The sequence below is a fragment of the Homo sapiens genome, chromosome 3 (assembly GCF_000001405.40).
Source record: "Homo sapiens chromosome 3, GRCh38.p14 Primary Assembly".
Classification (NCBI taxonomy): domain Eukaryota; kingdom Metazoa; phylum Chordata; class Mammalia; order Primates; family Hominidae; genus Homo; species Homo sapiens.
The window spans coordinates 46,232,303-46,253,009 of NC_000003.12; the positions used below are offsets into that span (position 1 = coordinate 46,232,303).

Consider the following 20,707-nt stretch of genomic DNA (forward strand, 5'->3'; position numbering starts at 1 on the left):
CAAGCAGGTTTTACACAGGGAAAGATTTTGTTGGAAAAGCACCTGGGAGGGAAAGTGGGCTGGAGCAGGAAGGGCTGGGAAAGCCGGCAGAACCCCAGTGAGGTAGCAGGGGAACCAAGCGGTAGTAGACGCATCCTAGACTGTTCTGCAGCCTGAGGAAGGTTTGGCATAGCCACGTGGGGGTCCTTAAGCTAATGTCAGTGCATCTCTAGGGATTGGGCCTGCCTCAGTATCCCTGTGTGCTCAGTCATTGGAAGCACAACATTGATTTCAGAGCCTGCAGAGGGGTCTTAGGCTTTCTGGAGTGGGAGGGGCATGTTCATGGCTGCACCGGTGGTTTGCCCCATCCTTGGTGCCATTCTGGATGTGATGTTGCACTGATGGTAAATATCAAGGCCCAGATCAATGCTAGACTCTTGTTCACCTGTTATCTTGAAATCACAGGTGGCCCACCACCTCCCCCAATAGCACAGCTTCCACGTTCTCACTCCTGTCTCTTTTGTAGAATAGGCTATCTATCAGGGGAATAATCCTTTTTTGTGTTTTTCTAGATGAAGTCTTGCTCTGTTGCCCAGGCTGGAGTGCAGTGGCACAATCTCGGCTCACTGCAACCTCTACTTCCTGATTTCAAGCAATTCTCCTGCCTCAGTCTCCCGAGTAGCTGGGATTATAGGCACACGCCACCACGCCTGGCTAATTTTTGTATTTTTCGTAGAGACGGGGTTTCACCATGTTGGCCAGGCTGGTCTCGAACTCCTGACCTCGTGATCCACGTGTCTCAGCCTCCCAAAGTGCTGGGATTACTGGCGTGAGCCACTGCACCCGGCCCATAGTCCTTTTTGTAAAGCTTTCACAGGAGGGTGACGTGCTGTCAGTGGAGGGAACACAGAAATACACAGGATTGCCAACGTGCTAGAGAGGGGCCCTGCTGGCTACAAAAGTCCTTCCACTAACTTCACTAGAAAAGTGACAGTAAACACAAGTCTGGCTGGAGCCCCACATTTCTGGCCCTGGTGCCCGGGAAGGAAGGTGGGTGCATTAAAGGAAGCTTTGCACTTCTCCCTGCTGCTCTGGCAATCGTTTCCGTTCACATGCTCAAGGTTGTGGCTTGACCTATGCTCTCCTGCAAAATATTGCTGACCCTTTCCTATTTCTGAGGTTCTTTGCTTTTCCCCTCCCATGTTCCCATACTCCTAAGCTATCTTCTGCGTGTGTTGTTGTTGTTTTGGCTCTTTTTTCCCGCCCCCCAGAAATGTGTCTGCTTCAGTGTAATGTGGCAGTGAGAATCTGGGAGATTGGAAGACATTTGTGTTTGGTTGGGTTTTCCCACACACCTCTGTTTTTCCTGTGAGCTAAGAACCCCAAAAGAAGCATCAAAAATTTCTTTCCCGTGGTAGGAAAAGCCAGGACAGAACGAGCCATTCTGGACCTTGGGGAAACCACTTTGTGTTCTGGTTTCCTTCAGGTTTGATGCCATCCTCACCTTTGGCTGAAGGGCAACAGGCAACTCTTCTTCAGACGGCAGTACCATGCCGGAAAACAGAGCACCATGTGGCTAGCCCAAGCTCTGGGGTAGAGCCAGCTCTGCCCTTCACTCTCTGTGGCTTTTGCCAAGTCCCTCATTGAGTCTCAGCTTCCCCATCTGCAACACAGGGGTAAGGTAGCAGGGTTGCAAGAGCATCCTGCCACCTCCTGGGCTGCAATGGATACCCCGTCAAGGTAAGACAATGGACAGGGGGCAGTATGCCCTTGTAGTGCCTGTGCATGCATCAGGCCGGCACTGCTCAGAGTGCTCCTGAGGCATCCTGACCTTGAGAGATGTTAACACTTGTCATTTGAAAAGTATTTTTTTTCTAAGTTAAAGATAGGTTTGAGAAATGCTGGATTAGGAAGGTTTCAAACAGATTCATCACTACAGGACTTCTCAGGGGCCTTTAATGCACTGTGAATCTCCAGGAGTGTTTTCTAACAGTGCATGCTTTTATCCTAAGAGACATTAAATGTATTGGGATGGATTCATTGGTTTAATCAATGGGTAGTTCATGAGAAGCTTCAACCTGAAAGGCCTGAGGGCTCTTGATACCCAAGAAAGCCCAGGGGAGATCCTTGACATCTGTGAAACATCAGATCCAAGATCTCCCAGAGTGACCACATACCCTTTCAGAGTCCACTTGGGCTCCAGATGTTATCTGGAGCCATATTTCTACCAAGAATTTATGTGGTTGTGCTTATCCTCACATAAATTAAGCCTCGTTTTAACATTCTATAAAGCTTAGTCTTGCAATTGATGAGCACTCATTGCCCTAACTGGAGCACCCCACAAAATACCCCCTGATTTCCCTTGTTTTTATGTGGAACACACAGTAGAGTCACTCCCATGAAGATCTGAGTCACTGCTGAATTCCATATTCCTGTCGATAATTTATCCCAAATTTATGTTTTCTGCCCCAGAACCACTGCTTTTTAAGATTTCTTTATTATGGCTTTCCTTCCACCACCATCACCAGCATTTAGCTTGTTTTATGAAGAAATGAAGCTCTTTGGTTGTTTAAATCACTTCTGGGGAATTCTAAGGCTACAGTGAGTGGTGAGGATGGAGTTGACCAGGTCCACTCACCAGGTGGAGGGCTCACGCCCATGCATAGCCCCCATTCCCACATCCCACTCCCTTTCTCCTGAAGGGAGCTCAAAGGGTCTACATCTGGCTTCTCTCCACCCCTCTACTGGAGGTGGAGTGGCTTTTAAATTGGTCAGATTTGGAAAGAATAGCTGGGAAGCCTTAGCCCAGCTCTGCTCCTCTTCCTCTTGAAAGAGAGCTGCCTGTCACTCAGTAGATACATCTGTACAGTTCTGTGGTTTAATTAACAGGCTTCTTTTTTCCCTCACTCCCCCACCTACCCCCATATCTTAACTTGCTCAGATCCCAGACAATAAAGGGGGCAGGGGACAGGGAAGGGCTTCTTTCTCTCCAGAGGATACTGAGCACCAGAAGACTAAGTAGGCAATAAATGCCACAGGAGTGTGGAAAGGGAGGTGAGTACCAAGGCCTGCTACATTAAGACATAACAACACATGCTATCATGGTTAGCATTGGAGGCGCACTTCCTACAAGCACTTCTCATAGGCTAGCTCACCCAATTCTCACATCCCTGCAGGTACTATAATGATCTTCATTTATAGACAAGAAAATTGAAACTTTCACATTGCTAATAACTCACTGGGATTGGAGTCCATTCTTTCTAAGCAGAAAGAGATATCTTTGTGGAGAAACTGAATCTTGACTGCAGGTCAGTGTATAGAGTGCCCTTGACATAAGTAACTCCATCTTAGAAAAAGACTTCATCTTACATTTCAAAAGGCGTTGAGGACCAGATGTTTTTGCCTGAACAAAACACTGCATTCAAGCAAATAAGGACATAACCAAACATACTCTTCCACTACGAGCCCTCACCAGAGGACTGGCCATAAAAGAGCAGGACTTCAGCAGCTCAAAACAGCAGACTTAACAGATGCTGTCTTGCTGTCATTTGTGATAAGCACATGGCATCTGCTGCCGAAGGCTCTACGCACATCAAATACTCTTCCTTGCAAGATGCTGATGCTGACTGGCACCTGGGGCATTCCAGGACATTATTTTTGTTCATGTTGCTCTCCCTGGACTGGTTTGTTAACTCTTTTTCCTATCCCTTTTCTCTTGATGTCAAATGTTACTTTGTTTGATGTGGAATATTTAATCTATAATATTTATATATTGATTAAGTATACTATGATGTATGGTTTGCAATACTGACTGACTTGGGGAGTGGCTTGAGCCTGTGTGCCCATGGCTCTGACTACAGAGTAAATGGGTGGTACCAACGGGAACTGCCTCCTTGGGAACTCCATGCAGTTCGTGGCTTTTATGATTGAAACAGCACCAGCAGAAGTGTGACCTCGTGGAAAGACATGAAAATACATGGACTTGGTTATCTCTGACCTTGTGCCCCTCATGATAGTTGAACTCAGAGCAGCAGAGAGAAGAGAAAAGGGAAGACACCGGCTGCTGAGAGCTGCCCTCACCATGGTGGTGCATGTGCAAGGCCACATGGGCTCTGCTCCACCAGCCCCATCGACAGGCTCCCAGGACGGCTCACCTTCCAGGAAGTCCTGCTGACACTGTTGTTGCTGCATTGGGTAGAAGTCTGCTTCCATGTAACCTCTCCACCCTGGGCTGCGTCAAACTGCCCACAGGAAATGTCACCTCTATAATAAACAACTAGAGGACTTCTTATCTTCTCTTTTGCAGACCAGAGGCTTCCAGTTCCTCTAATTCTTCTCCACTGGTTCTGCTGGCCCTCTTGGGACTGCTGGTTGTCAAGCTCCCTCACACTGGGGTCCCCAGGATGTCCAGAGTTTCCCAGCAGCATTGGAGAGAGGCAGCACATAGTGGGACCCTAGTGGGAAGAGAGGCAGCAGGCTCAGAAGAGTTCAAAACCTCAGTTCCAAGAGTCTGTACCTTATCTAAGACACAATAGCACATGGCTGAAGATTCTTCAGCAGAGGAGGGAAAGGGGAGTGGGTGTGAGGCCAGGGATCCTGGAAAGTTGTCCCGCAGGCAGCTGTAAGGGGAGACCTGAGGAGAGAAAGGAGGCAGCTGCCTCTCAGTCAATTCAAATTACCTCTTGTGAAATTGTCTTTCTATGCCTGGCTTATTTCACTTAACATAATGACCTCCAGTTCCATCCATTTTGCTGCAAATGGCATGATTTCATTCATTTATGGCTGAATAATATTTCATTGTGCATATATACCACATTTTCTTTATCTATTCATCCATTGATGAACACTTAGGTTGATTCCATATCTTAACTAGGTTGAATAGTGCTGCAGTAAACACGGTGGTGCAGTATCCCTTTGATATACTGATTTCCTTTCCTTTGTAAAAATACCCAATAATGGGATTGCTGGATTGTACCTTAGTTCCATTTTTAGCTTTTTGATAGATCTCCAGTTGTTTTTGTTGAGTTGCTTGAGGTCCTTGTACATATTCTGGATATTAGTACTTGGGTGAATGGTTTGCATAGATTTCTCCCATTCTACAGATTGTCTCTTCACTCCGTTGGTTGTTTCCTTTGCTGTGCAGAAGCTTTTTAGTTTAATACTGTCCCATTTGTCTATTTTTGTTTTTGTTGCCTGTGCATTTGAAGTGTTAGCCACAAGAGCTTTGCCTAGATTAATGTCTTGAAGCATTTTCCCTATGTTTTCATGTAGTAGTTTTATAGTTTTAGGTTTTATGTTTACATTTTTAATCCATTATAAGTATATTTTTGTGAAAGATAGGGGTCCAGTTTCATTCTGCATGTGGCTATTCAGTTTTCCCAGCAGCATGTATTGAAGAGGGTGTCCTTTCCTCAATGTATGTTTTTGGCACCTTTGTTGAAAATAAGTTGGCTGTAACTGTGTGAATTATTTCTGGGCTCTCTATTCCATTCCATTGGTTTATGTGTCTGTTTTAATACCAACGCCATGCTGTTTGGGTTACAATGTAAGCTGCTACATTTTAAGATCATTTGTTATGAAGCTACAGTAACCAGAACACTGTTTTTCATAATCCAGGTGCCTGATTTTGATCTTCTTACCACCTTCAAGTTTGAGAGAATAATTTCTACACATTTGAAAGAAATCAAGATCTGCTTACATTTCCTAGTTGGTTAAACACATAGTTTCAGATCTTTTCTCTATTTCAATTACATATTCCTGAGAACCAAACTGCTTTACTTGAAAGTTGCTCCAATGTTCTGACAGATTGATACTTTTAGTTCTTTAAACAAATAATGAGCTGCTTTGAATTATAATGCGTTGTATAATAAACTGCCTTATTTTCAGAGTGGCTATACAATTTTTCTTTCCCACTAGCTCTGTATGAGAGTTTTAGTGTTCTGTATTCTTGTCAGCACTTGATATTGTCAATTTAAAAAAAAAAGTTAGTCATTCTAGTAAGTATGTAGTTGTATCTCATTGCAATTTTAATTTACATTTTCCTAATGACTAACAATGTTGACAGTCTTGTGTGCTTATTTGCCATCTATACTTTTTTTTTATGGAATATCTATTCAGATCTTTTTTATTGGGCTGGTTTCTCAATGTCGAGTGCAGTGCATTTACTAGGGAAACTTAACAAAGTGTTGCAGCAGTTCTCATGACAGTGAGAAAAAGAGATGTTTTACCTAGGTATGTCCACCACAAGGGGATCAGGGTATGGAGTTTATATGAGGATTTACGGAATTTGGCTCAGGGCTGGGGATAACTTCTCTTAGTGCTTTAGCAATAACCTGAATACCTTTATTAGTGCGTGGAAGTGTTCAAGTCCCTAGCTTGAGTTCAAGCCACAGGAGACAACACAAAACTTGCCAAGTCACAGCGTAGTCAAGGCACTCTCTATTTCTCAGGTGAGACAGAGAAAAAAGTGGGGGGACCTGAGGGACCCTACAATCACTGATACATGGAATAACACAAATGAATCTCAAACTCATTATGCTGAGAAAAAAGCTAGACACAGGAGTAGATATGGCATGATGCCATTTATATATGATATTCTAGAACAAGCAAAACTAAGCTAGAGCAACATAACGCAGATCAGCGGTTGCCTGGGACAGGGGATAAGGGAGTCATTGATTGAAATGGGGCATAAGGTACTTTTTGAGGTGTGAAAATGTCCTGTATTTGATTATGATGGTGATTCAGAGAGGTATGCAATTGTTGAATTTGTTGACCTGTACCCTTAAAATGGGTGCAAGCAAATGACACTTCAATATGTTGTTAACTGAAAAACTAATGAGGGAAATCGTAGAGATTATTACAAGAATCTGCCTTATTGCAAAATGCCAGAAAAAAATGCTGTCCCGTCCTCTTTGTTTTTCTCCAAGGTGTAGAAATGGAAGTGACTGAATTTTTACAATCTCTTGCGAATTAGCTATTAAAAATCTTATGCATGTAGCTTCTTTACAGAAATCTCCAAATGCTTTTTAAATCTTTGTAACCTTCTAGGAAATACTATAATTTGTTGATTTCAGATGAAGAATGCTTTGTTATAGTTTTAACTCTGCAGAGATGTCATTTGGTAATTGTGATTATTTATCAAGCTCCTACCATGTGCTTCATCTTAGCCAAAATTTCCACTGTAGATGGTGAAATTAGGGCTCAGGAAGGCTACATGACTCATCTATATGAGCCATAAATGGGCGAGGTGAACCCGGTCTGTGTGGTGCTAAATCCCAGGTGCCTTCTATTTCACCACTGGTGAGAACACAGAGTGCTAATTAAGGAGACTGGAGCTGGAATTTCCACTCCACCATTTAGTCATGTGTGAGCTTGGACAGGTCACTTGATCTCAATTCCCTTATCCACAGGTTAGGTGATTACCAGCATTGCTCCTCATTCTGGTCTACTGCGTAGTCCCAGGTGGAGCAGTTTGCATTGATTACCCTGTGAATGGCACCCCATGGAGGCAGCTCTGGGATGACAATCTCCCTATTAAGTTAAAAGGTCATTGTGGGATTTCCACCCAGAAAATTTATGTGGAATACTCTGAAAACCCTCAAACACTGATCTCAAATAAGGTAGTACCAGTACTATAACTCAAAATCCTTCAATAGCTCCCACATTTCCATGGAATCTACTGTGAACTCGTCAACTCTTTATAATCTAGCCAAAACCAGCAGTCAATCTTATCTCCCTCCACTCTTTGCTCCATGCCCACTACCTCTGCCAGGCCCATGCCTTTCCTGTCTTCAGATGTCATTGACCGCCTGTTGGCATGTCATGTGATCTAGGGATAAAACTCCCCAGATAAAGTGAAAGGAGTGGAAGCCAGATGCACCACAATGGGCCTGCAAAATTCCACCCTCTGCCAGAGACCTGCAGGTGGCTCTGAATGCTCTGCAGGGCTGGAGCTTCTGAATGTGTGTCACCCTAACAGATGTATATAATGTGTTACACATTTTAAAATGTGTATGTGTGTATATATATTAATCTCCCTGGCTCTTGGTTCCTGGCATTAGGATGCAAGCATATCTGTTCCCTAATTTCATTCCTGCCTACCCCTGCACAGGGACCAAGCTCACCTCACCTCTTGGTCTTGGTAGCTCTACTTCCTTTTTCCTGGAAACTCTCCCTACCCCTTCCACATGGCCAAATTCTGTTCATCCCTCGGGCCCTTTCTCTTCCATGAAGCCGTTCCCAGTCCCTTCAGCCCACATGGTCCTGTTTTCTAAACCCTGTAGAACTTGCATTTGACATCCCACATGCTGAATCAGAGCACAATATATTATACTATATTTCAGACCACCCTGAGTGGCTGCCTCTTTCTCACTGAGAGGGTCTGTCATGACAACTATGATAAGTATTTTCATGACGCTGTCCACATGCCACACACTGGCCTCCACGTAGTCCTAATTTATTTGCTCCTCACACAGATCCTACAAGCTAGGCATTGCTACATCATTTTGCAGTAGAGCACGCTGAGGCACACAGAGGTTATGTAGCTTGCCCACGGTGATATCCCTATTAAGCGGTAAAGGTAGGTTTTGCATTCAGGTGTCCAGCAGCAAAGTCTGAGATCTTACTATCAGTCGAAAATTTTGTTTTAGCCAATTTGAATATGCTATATTGAATATGCTGTAGATTAAATAGTGAAATGTTTCTTTGGTTATGCTTTAACTATATTTGAGCATTCTTGATATTTTATCAGGTCTCTGTTGTCTCTGATCACCAACAAGGTTATAGACTCTTTAAGGTGGAAACTGAGCCCCTTCCTCCCTTTCTTCTCTTTCTCTCAAATTCTCTCCCTATTCTTTCTCTCTCTCTCTAATGCACATGTGTGTGCGCTCTCTCTCTCTCTCTGTCTCTCTTATCCTCCTTCCTCTTTCTTTGTCTTTTGTTCCTATGTTTTCTTTATCATGAAGCATACAGCACAGTCCTACACACATATCAAACGTTTGATAAACACTTTGGTGCATTACACTCATTTGTCGAGTTAGTCAGTGTATCAAAGATCACTTCATGCTTAGTCAGAGTTCTTCCCACAAATATTGGGTGAATACCTGCTCTGTGCCCAGTGCCATGCTAGGTCCCAAGGGACACATCAGCACATACAGCAGGCACATGGCTCTGCCCTGTGACGCTTTGCCCTGAGACATGGCTCTGCCCTATGACGCTTATGTCACAGTGGCATTCTACCCACACTTTACATTTCCTTAGCCCTGTATATTCTGCAGAGACTTTTCACATATTTATCTTAGTTGGTTCCACGGCAATGCTATGACTTAAATATCATTATTTCCAGTTTAGAGATGAAAAAGCTGAGGTCCAGCAAGTTTAAATTACTACCCCCAGCTTATGTAGCTGTGTATGCCACAACTGAAACTCAAACTCAAGTCTTTTAGACTTGTCTAAACCTTTGCAGCCACATTTTGCCCCATCCAAGTGTCTACTGGACCCTGCAGAATAATTAGTTTATTCCTTTGCCGGGAAATTCTTATTTCATTCTTCATCCTGTCTCCCGATGAGTCAAATCAATGCTTATTCAAGAATTATAAATCCCAGGTCTTTAGGAGGCCGAGACTCGCAGATCACTTGAGGTCAGAAGTTTGAGACCAGCCTGGCCAACATGGTGAAACCCTGTCTCTACTAAAAATACAAAAATTAGCCAGGCATGGTGGCATGTGCCTCTAATACCAACTATTCCAGAGGCTGAGGCAGGAAAATCCCTTGAACCCAGGAGGTGGAGGTTGCAGTGAACTGAGATCATGCCACTGTACTCCAGCCTGGGTGACAGAATGAAATCCTGTCTTAAAAAAAAAAAAAAAATTATAACAACCCCCCACCACTAAAAATGAGCAATGCCAATGGGTGGAGAGCCCCTAAAGCAGCACTAATTGCAAGGATTTCTCAGGTGACTGGTTAGTATGTGGTGTCAATCATGAAAAAGAAGAACTGCACGAAAGTATCTTTCTGAAAACTTGCAAAACTGAGAAGCTAGTCTGTTTAAAACAGGAAGTTATATACTTACATTGTTTACTACTTTACTAATGTCTGTGATCTGATGGTATCTCTGTTTCAGGAGTGGTGACGCCTAAGCTATCACTGGACATATCAAGGACTTCACTAAATTAGCAGGTACCACTGGTCTTCTTGTGCTTATCCGGGCAAGAACTTATCGAAATACAATAGAAGTTTTTACTTAGAAGAGATTTTCAGGTAGGTGTCGCTTTTCCAGGAAAAGGGAGGTGGAACAAGGAGGGGTCCAGGCAGGTGGAAGTAGTAACTTCCAGCAGTGCTCTTGGATCTAGGAGGGAGGAGAGGAAGGTACACAGCAATTTAGAGGTAGTATGGGGCCAGAGTGGGAGAAAATATGGCCACATATCTCCATTTTCTTCTTGCTTTTTCTAATTTTCCCTTTCTGTCTCCCATCCACACAATGATAAGTTTGCGTGTAGCACTCACCCAAACTTGGCCCTTTATACCTCTTTAGTCAACATCTGTGCCCATGTTACCCTCCTATACTTTCACAAATTCTCAACTATGTGCATATGACTACTCCAAAGAGCTTACACTTAATAGCTTGTGTTTATTTATATTGACTTGTAAGAAATAGCAAAAATATAATTTTACATATATATGTGTATATATATATATATACACATATATATATATATATATATACGCACACACACATACATTTTTATATATACAAAGTCCTCCCTCAGTATCTGTGAGGGATTTGTTCCAGGACCCTTGCAGATACCAAAATTCATAGATGCTCAAGTTCCTTATATAAAATGATGTAGTATTTGCTGATAACCTACAAATATCCTCCAGTACCCTTTAAATACAAGTACCTAGATTACTTGTAATACCTAATACAACGCATACAGAGCGCTTCATTCATGTGGAGTCAACATAGCACTTGCTGCGTGGCAAATTCAAGGCTTGGTTTTTGCAACTTTGTGGAGCTTTTTCCCAGATATTTTTGATCCGTGATTGGTTGAATACACAAATGTGGAACCCATGGATACAGAGGGCTGATTATATACATATGTGTGTGTGCATTAAGTATGTATGTGTGGAAATATATATATTTATTTGAAGTTTTCATTGAAAATCCACACTAAATCAAGCTACTAGATGAGTCAGTTGATTGATTTGGTGTCTTTTTTTCTGGGTGAATGAGATTGTCTGTGTTAGAGGGTAGAGCTAGAAAGCCTTACCGATTCTTCTGGAAACGCCTGGATTGACAGAGGATGAGTGTTAACTTTGACAAGTACTTCAAGTGAGAGTGGTGGGAATAAGGGGTCTTCCACATGGATGTGGTATAAGTTGAAGTATATTTTTGAAGTGCAGCTCTTTCCAGAAAATGGTGATGATTACACTGAACCACGCAGGATGAGTTAGCTCTTCTGGGAGAAGAAATATGAGCCCTTTGTATGACTTAATAAGAAAAAAGCAGATCTGTACAGCAGAATAAATTGGGTAAAGGGCACAAAGAGATAAATCACAGGAAGGGAAATATGAATGACTAATACTTGTAGTTAAAAAAAATCAGTAATGAAATAAATGTTAATTACAACAATAATGGCAACCCTTTTGCCCATCTAATTGGCCAAGTAATTTTTTCTTTCTTTTAGATCTTCTCCATATTGATGGATGCTTGCTGAAATGGGCACCATCACCTACTAGTGCCAAGAGTATATATATTGTTACACACTTTCTGGAAGCAATTTGACAAAATGCATCAAGAGACTTCGAAATATAATTCAATGTAGAAATTGTGATTTGTGTAATATACCTTAAGGAAATAATTTTAAAATGCACACAAATATGTTTATTGCAGTATTATTTATAGCAGAGCAAATTGTGAATAACTTAATCACACAACAAAAAGGCAATGGTTAAATAAGCATGATTATCTATACAATATGTTGGAGTCATTACAAATTACATTTTTAAGTAATTTTTAGCCACAAGGAACTAGGTGAAAGGTAAAGAAGTTAAGGTATCAGAATACAAAATGATATACAAGTGTACTATCTTTCATGCGCGTCCGTGTGAAGAGACCACCAAACAGGCTTTGTGTGAGCAATAAAGCTTTTTAATCACCTGGGTGCAGGCAGGCTGAGTCCGAAAAGAGTCAGCGAAGGGAGATAAGGGTGGGGCCGTTTTATAGGATTTGGGTAGATAAAGGAAAATTACAGTCAAAGGGGACTTGTTCTCTGGCGGGCAGGAGTGGGGGTCACAAGGTGCTCAGTGGGGGAGCTTTTTGAGCCAGGATGAGCCAGGAAAAGGGACTTTCACAAGGTAATGTCATCACTTAAGGCAAGGACCAGCCATTTTCACTTCTTTTGTGGTGGAATGTCATCAGTTAAGGCGGGGCAGGGCATTTTCACTTCTTTTGTGATTCTTCAGTTACTTCAGGCCATCTGGGCATATATGTGCAAGTCACAGGGGATGTGATGGCTTGGCTTGGGCTCAGAGGCCTGACACTGTCAATTATAACATACATGGTACCTGGAAAGGCAGTGGCTCTCTCTCCATAGCACAGTTGGAGGTGGAAGCACTGGGTCCCAGAAAGCTGAAATTCTGGTCATGGTGACTATCCCACAACCATGTTATTTGGAATGTATATGCATACTTTCCTTGTGAAAACATATTCTTCATGACCAACTCCTTCAATAATCCAAAATCATTTGGCTGGTGGGCGAAACCCTGTCACTTAAGATGAACTGACCGCACTCAGACACAATTCTGAAAGACACAAGCATGAGGTGTAACTTTTGCATTAGTAACTATTATTAATGATTGGAAGCTCTGGAAATCCATGTGCTGCCCTAAAATACCAATTCTGGGAAATGTTTGTGGCTGGAAAGAAGACTGCATTCATTCATGATTTGAACTTTGAGAGGCTCTTCTTGTGTATTTCCAGGGAAGAAGCTCACTGGCTCCCTCATTCCGTTCCTGCACTGTTCTCAGAAAGTTCTTCCCCATGTGTGGATGTATCTAGTATCCTCCAAGGTCATCAAATTTCTGCTCTATGAGAGTCTACTTCCTCTTCTACAGGAAGAACTATCGTATCATAGACTTTTCTATCTTACGTGGGCCTAAAACATTGCCTAATCCAACCCTTTAATTAAAAAAAAAAACTTTGATCCAGACCAAAGGCATACAAAAACAAAACAAAACAAAACAAAACCTAAAATGAATCCAAATATGATTATTTTCCTTTTTTTTAACTTTTATTTTAGGTTTGGGGGTACATGTGAAGCTTTGTTACGTAGGTAAACTCGTGCCATGGGGGTTTGTTGTACAGATTATTTCATCACCCAGGTATTAAGCCTAGTAGCCAATACTTGTTTTTCTGCTCCTCTCCCTCCTCCCACTCTCAAGTAGACCCCTGTGTCTGTTGTTCTCTTCTTTGTGTTCATGAGTTCTCATCATTTAGCTCCCACTTATAAGTCAGAACATGTCGTATTTGGTTTTTTCCCTGCATTAGTTTGCTAAGGATAATAGCTTCTAGCTCCATCCATGTTCCTGCAAAAGACACTATCTGTTTTTTTATGGCTGCATAGTATTCCATGTGTATATGTACCACATTTTCTTTATCCAATCTGTCATTGATGGGCATTTAGTTTGATTTCATGCAAAGGCTATTATTTTTCATACAAAACATTCCAAGTTCTGCCAACTATGGCTGATGTTTTGGGACTGTTATCATCCTACTTCCTTCTATAGTCTAGGTTGATACTAACCCTCTTAAAATTTGGTGCCTGGAACAGAACATAATATTTCAGATGTGTAGTCTGGACAGTGCAAAGCAGAGTAAAAATTATTCTACTCCATCCTTTCATACACTTAAGAAGAGTTTATTAAGCATCTTTCATTTGTCAGGCATCATGCTGGACACTAGGCCTGTACTGTCCACTATGGTGGCTACTTGCTTTTATGCGTGTCCGTGTGAAGAGACCACCAAACAGGCTTTGTGTGAGCAACATGGCTGTTTATTTCACCTGGGTGCAGGCGGGCTGAGTCCGAAAAGAGAGTCAGCGAAGGGAGATAAGGGTGGGGCCGTTTTATAGGATTTGGGTAGGTAGAGGAAAATTACAGTCAAAGGGGGTTTGTTCTCTGGCGGGCAGGAGTGGGGGTCGCAAGGTGCTCAGTGGGGGTGATTTTTGAGCCAGGATGAGCTAGGAAAAGGACTTTCACAAGGTAATGTCATCACTTAAGGCAAGGACCGGCCATTTTCACTGCTTTTGTGGTGGAATGTCATCAGTTAAGGTGGGGCAGGGCATATTCACTTCTTTTGTGATTCTTCAGTTACTTCAGGCCATCTGGGCGTATATGTGCAAGTCACAGGGGATGGGATAGCTTGGCTTGGGCTCAGAGGCCTGACATTCCTGCCTTCTTATATTAATAAGAAAAATAAAACAAAATAGTGTTGAAGTGTTGGGGTGGCGAAAATTTTTGGAGGGTGGTATGGAGAGAGAATGGGCGATGTTTCCCAGGGCTGCTTCAAGCGGGATTAGGGGCGGCGTGGGAACCTAGAGTGGGAGAGATTAAGCTGAAGGGAGGTCTTGTGGTAAGGGGTGATATTGTGGGGATGTTAGAAGAAACATTTGTCGTATAGAATGATTGGTGATGGCCTGGATATGGTTTTGTATGAATTGAAAAACTAAATGGAATAAGAGAAGGAGAAAAACAGGTATAAAAGGTCTAAGAATCGGGAGGACCTAGGACATCTGATTAGAGAGTGCCTAAGGAGATTCAGCATAGTCCTGCCAGCAAAGATTATTTATTTACTTCAAGAGTTAAGAGCGGCGGTTTGGGGATAGCACGAGGAGATATCAGCTGTGATGGCTTGAAAAAACAGTGTAAACTGGCAGTGTAAACAAGAGCAGGGCATGTATGAGTAGTTGAGAACAGAGAACAGGAGTATGACTAGATAGAAAATAGTAGGGATGACAAGTTTTTTTGGGGCACAGTCTAAGGTGGTCCGGTGTCTGGAATGAGACTGGGGGCCTAATGAAAAGGAGCATCTATACAGGAACTTAAATGGGCTGTACCTTATAGCATTCCGAGGACAGGTCTGACTTCTGAGAAGGGAAAGTGGTGAAAGTATTGTCCAGTTCTTTTTAAGTTGGTGGCTGAGCTTGGTGAGGTGTGTTTTTAAAAGACCTTTAGTCCGTTCTACTTTTCTTGAAGACAGAGGACTATAAGGGATATAAAGGTTTCACTGAATACTAAGAGCCTGAAAAACTGCTTGGCTGATTTGACTAATAAAGGCTGGTCTGTTATCAGACTGTATAGAGGTGGGAAGGCTAAACTGAGGAATTATGTCTGACAGAAGGGAAGAAATGACTGCGGTGCCCTTCTCAGACCCTGTAGGAAAGGCCTCTACCTATCTAGTGAAAGTGTCTACTTAGACTAAGAGGTATTTTAGTTTTTGTGACTCAGGGCATGTTGAGTAAAGCTAATTTGCCAGTCCTGGGCAGGGGCAAATCCTCGAGCTTGATGTGTAGGGAAGGGAGGGGGCCTGAATAATCCTTGAGGAGTAGTAGAATAGCACATAGAATAGCAGATGGAACACTGAGAAGTGATTTCCTTGAGGATAGATTTCTACAATGGAAAGGAAATGAGAGGTTCTAAGAGGCAGGCTAGTGGCTTGTACTATAGCATAGCCTGCCTTTGCTGGTGTGTGGTGATTAGGCCTGGTGGAACTGCCATCAATAAATCAAGCATGATCAGGGTGAGGAACAGGAAAGAAGGAGATATGGGGAAATGGGGTGAATGTCAGGTGGATCAGAGAGATACAGTCATGAGGGTCAGGTGTGGTTTCTGGAATAATGTGGGAGGCTGGACTGAAGTCCGGGCCAGGAATGATGGTAATTGTGGGAGACTTAACAAAGAGTGAGTACAGCTGAAGGAGCCAAGGAGCAGAAAGTATATGCATCAGGTATGAGGAAGAAAATAGATTTTGGAAGTTATGAGAAATGTAGAGAGTGAGTTGAGCATAGTTTGTGATTTTTAGGGCCTCTAAAAGTATTAAAGCAGTGGCAGCTGCTGCATGCAGACATGAGGGCTAGGCTAAAACAGTAAGATCAAGTTGTTTGGACAGAAAGGCTACAGGGTGCAGTCCTGGCTCTTGTGTAAGAATTCTGACTGCACTAACCATGCCTAGGAAGGAAAGGAGTTGTTGTTTTGTAAGGGATTGAGGTTTGGGAGATTAATCGGACAGGATCAGCAGGGAGAGCACGTGTGTTTTTATGAGAATTATGCCGAGATAGGTAACAGATGACGATGAAATTTGGGCTTGACTGAAGTAATGGGGGCTGTCTGTGAAACCTTGTGGCAGTACAGCCCAGGTAATTTGCTGAGCCTAATGGGTGTCAGGGTCAGTCTAAGTGAAAGCAAAGAGAGGCTGGGATGAAGGGTGCAAAGGAATAGTAAAGAAAGCATGTTTGAGATCCAGAACAGAATAATGGGTAGTAGAGGGAGGTATTGAGGATAGGAGGTTATATGGGTTTGGCCCCACGGGGTGGATAGGCAAAACAATTTGGTTGATAAGGTGCAGATTCTGAACTAACTTGTAAGGCTTGTCTGGTTTTAGGACAGGTAAAATGGGGGAATGGTAAGGAGAGTTTATAGGCTTTAAAAGGCCATGCCTTAGCAGGCGAGTGATAACAGGCTTTAATCCTTTTAAAGCGTGCTGTGGGATGGGATCTTGGCATTGAGCAGGGTAAGGGTGATTAGGTTTTAACGAGATGGTAAGGGGAGCATGATTGGTCGCCAAGGAGGGAGTAGAGGTATCTTATACTTGTGGGTTAAGGTGGGGGAATACAAGAAGAGGACGCAAAGGAGGCTTTGGATTGGGAAGAAGGGCAGCAATGAGATGCGGCTATAGTCCAGGAATAGTCAGGGAAGCAGATAATTTGGTTAAAATATCTCGGCCTAATAAGGGAACTGGGCAGGTGGGGATAACTAAAAAAGAGTGCATAAAAGAGTATTGTCTAAGTTGGCACCAGAGTTGGGGAGTTTTAAGAGGTTTAGAAGCCTGGGCATCAATACCCACAACAGTTATGGAGGCAAGGGAAACAGGCTCTTGAAAAGAAGGTAATGTGGAGTGGGTAGCCTCTGTATTGATTAAGAAGGGGATGGACTTACCCTCCACTGTGAGAGTTACCTAAAGCTCGGCATCTGTGATGGTCTATGGGGCTTCCGAGGCGATCAGGCTGTGTCAGTCTTCAGCCGCTAAGCCAAGAAGGAGTCAGTCAGAGAGCCTTGGGCCAGAGTTCCAGGGGCTCTGGGAGTGGCTGCCAGGTGAGTTGAACAGTCTGATTTCCAGTGGGGTCCCACACAGATGGGGGAATCCTGGGCTGCAGGCATTCCTTGGCCTGGTGGTCAGATTTCTGGCACTTGTAGCAAGCTCCTCGGGGAGGAGGTTCTGGAGGAACGCCTGGCCACTGCGGTTCAGGTGTTTGGAAGTTCTTGTGTGCTGGGGATGTGGCTGGGGTTTGTCTCACAGTGGAGGCAGGGAATTGCAACTTTTTTTTTTTATCATTGTACACCTTGAAGGTGAGGTTAATTAAGTCCTGTTGTGGGGTGTGAGGGCCAGATTCTAATTTTTGGAGTTTTATTTAATGTCGGGAGCAGATTGGGTAATAAAATGTATATTGAGAATAAGATGGCCTTTTGACCTTTTAGGGTCTAGGGCTGTAAAGCGTCTCAGGGTTGCTGCCGAATGAGCCATGAACTGGGCTGGGTTTTTATATTTGATGAAAAAGAGCCTAAACGCTTCTGATTTGGGATAAAGAAAAAGGAGCATTAACCTTGACTATGCCTTTGGCTCCAGGCACCTTTTTAAGAGTAAATTGCTGGGCAGGTGGGGAAGGGCTAGTGATGGAACGAAACTGTAAGCCGGACCAGGTGTGAGGAGGTGAGGCGATAAAAAGATTACAGGGTGGAGGAGTGGAGGCTGAGGAAGAATTGGGACCTAGCTTGGCCTGGCAAGGAGGGGAGAGGTCAGATGGGTCTGTAGAAAAGGAAGATTAGAAAGACTCAGCGATGCTTGGGGTTGGGACTGAGGGGACAGGCGGGAGGGAAACAAGGAAGATTTGGGACAAGTTGCACTGGGCACAGAGACTAGGAAGGGACTGATGTGTAAAAGAATGCCTGGACATCAGGCACCTCAGACCATTTGCCTATTTTAAGACAAGAATTATTTAGATCTTGTAGGATGGAGAAATCGAAAGTGCCATTTTCTGGCCATTTAGAGCCATTGTCAAGTTTGTATTGGAGCCAAGCAGTGTTGCAGAAGAAAATAAGGCGTTTAGGTTTTAGGACAGGTGTAAGTTGAGGTTTTAAGTTCTTGAGGACACAGGCTAAAGGAGAAGAAGGAGGAATGGAGGGTGGAATTTTGCCTATAGTGAAGGAGGCAAACCCAGAGAAAAGAGAGAGTAGAGACATGGAGGGAAGGGGTTCAGGGGTTCTTACCCTCCAGAAAAGCGGGAAGGGGGGTTGGGGCATGGAAATAAGGGATTGGGGCACAGAGATAAGAGGTCTGGGTGCGGAAATAAGGGATTGGGGCACAGAGATAAGAGGTCAGGGTGAGGAAATAAGGGATTGGGGTGCAGAGATAAGAGGTTGGGGTGCAGAAATAAGGGATTGGGGGTTCTTGCCCCCTAGAAAAGTGGGACTTGCCACTAAGAGTGAAGGAGAAGGGGTTGAGGGGTACTTGCCCCTCCCCCAGAAAAGCAGAGAAGGGGTAGAGACATGGAGAGAAGGGGTTGAGGTACTTGCCCCTTTCCCAGAAAAGTGGGACTTGCTGCTAAGGGTGAAGGACCAAGGCAGGCGTCCCTGCGTGGTCTGACACCCTTGAAACGTGGGTGAATAATCAGAGAGGCGTCCCTGCAATGATTAAACACCAAGGGAAGGCTGCCTTCCCAGTCTGTGACCGGCGCCGGAGTTTTGGGTCCATGGATAAAAGGTGTCTCCTTTGTCTCTACCAGAAAATGAAAGGAATTGAAATTAAGAGAAGGGAGAGATTGAAGTGTGGCGCCAAGATTGAAAGGAGAAAGAGGTTGAGGGATAGTGAGGGAGGTTGGAGAAGAGAGTAAAAAGAGGCCGCTTACTGGATTTGAAGTTGGTGAGATGTTTCTTGGGCTGGTCGGTCTGAGGACCTGAGGTCGTAGGTGGATCTTTCTCACGGAGCAAAGAACAGGAGGACAGGGGATTGATCTCCCAAGGGAGGTCCCACAATCCGAGTCACGGCACCAAATTTCATGTGCATCCTTGTGAAGAGACCACCAAACAGGCTTTGTGTGAGCAACATGGCTGTTTATTTCACCTGAGTGCAGGCGGGCTGAGTCCGAAAAGAGAGTCAGCAAAGGGAGATAAGGGTGGGGCTGTTTTATAGGATTTGGGTAGGTAAAGGAAAATTGCAGTCAAAGGGGGTTTGTTCTCTGGCAGGCAGGAGTGGGGGTCACAAGGTGCTCAGTGGGGGTGATTTAAAATCACCTAGCCAGGATGAGCTAGGAAAAGGACTTTCACAAGGTAATGTCATCACTTAAGGCAAGGACCAGCCATTTACACTTCTTTTGTGGTGGAGTGTCATCAGTTAAGGTGGGGCAGGGCATATTCACTTCTTTTGTGATTCTTCAGTTACTTCAGGACATCTGGGCATATATGTGCAAGTCACAGGGGATGCAATGGCTTGGCTTGGGCTCAGAGGCCTGACACTTTCTACATGTGGTTATTTAAATTAAATAAAATGAAAAGTTCAGTTTCTCAATTGCAGTAGCCACATTTCAAGTGCTCAATAGCCATGAGGCTAGTTTCTGTCTTTTTTTTTTTTTTTTTTTTTTTTGAGACAGGGTCTTACTCTGTCTCCCAGACTGGAGTGGAGTGGCACGATCTCAGCTCACAGCAAACTCCGCATCCCAGGCTCAAGAGATTCTCCTGCCTCAGCCTCCCGAGTAGCTGGAATTACAGGGGTGCACCACTACTGCCCAGCTAATTTTTTTTTTTTTAAAGTAGAGACAAGGTTTCACCATGTTGACCAAGCTGGTCTTGAACTCCTGACCTCAAATGATCCACCCACCTTGGCCTCTCAAGATGCTGGGATTGTAGGCATGAGCCACAGCACCCAGCCAAGTGTCTCTCTTATCAGACAGCACAGATACAGAACATTTCCACTAATACAGAAAAATTCTATTGGACCACTGCACAGATAACTAACTTTTCTGGATACTCCAGGTTTTTTGAGAAAAGAAATGAAGGAAGGGAAGGAAGTGGGAGGGGATCAGCTTAATTGCATAGATGGGAAGCAAGTTGAATATCTAGATGGGTAATTGGATGGAAACAAGAAGGGATAGCTGGTGGAGAGGTGGATGGAGAGTCAGGTGGTAGATTTCATTTGTTCTGGATGATACAGCAATATAGCCTACCATTAAATTGGCTCTTGTGTTTGCCATTCATGGTGATAGCTTCTAAAGAACTTGCAACTAAGGATATTCTTTATTCTACCCCTAAGTTTCCCCTTTTCTTTCCACTACATTTAAAATAGGTTGGAGGGTTACATGACTCAGGGATTTAAAAAAAAAAAGTTCAAATTTAGGAGGGACTTCATGTCACATAGTCCAGGAGTTGTCAACCTTGGCTGCACAAGGGAATCACCAGAAGA

At 43.6% G+C, this 20,707-nt stretch overlaps 1 protein-coding gene across 6 annotated transcripts in view, besides 2 other annotated features; it reads left to right on the forward strand.

Moving 5' to 3' along the window:
- Window positions 1-20,707, forward strand: part of CCR3 (C-C motif chemokine receptor 3) — a 56,011-nt gene that overhangs the window by 21,607 nt on the left and 13,697 nt on the right. For 4 of the 6 annotated variants that reach the window (NM_001837.4, XM_017005685.2, NM_001164680.2 and 1 more), the window contains exon 1: window positions 10,158-10,236. The gene's annotated coding sequence lies outside the window, so the exon portion shown is untranslated. Of the gene's footprint in view, window positions 1-10,078; window positions 10,237-20,707 lie in introns of those variants that run through there. The other 2 variants (XM_006712960.4, NM_178328.1) reach the window with 2 other exon arrangements.
- Window positions 7,139-7,695: an enhancer, noted in NCBI's record as "OCT4-NANOG hESC enhancer chr3:46280932-46281488 (GRCh37/hg19 assembly coordinates)". NCBI's record gives its function as "activates a minimal SCP1, AML or CMV promoter by ChIP-STARR-seq in naive H9 embryonic stem cells {active_cell/tissue: H9 hESC(naive)}" and the evidence as "EXISTENCE:reporter gene assay evidence [ECO:0000049][PMID:30033119]".
- Window positions 12,092-12,636: an enhancer, noted in NCBI's record as "NANOG hESC enhancer chr3:46285885-46286429 (GRCh37/hg19 assembly coordinates)". NCBI's record gives its function as "activates a minimal SCP1, AML or CMV promoter by ChIP-STARR-seq in primed H9 embryonic stem cells {active_cell/tissue: H9 hESC(primed)}" and the evidence as "EXISTENCE:reporter gene assay evidence [ECO:0000049][PMID:30033119]".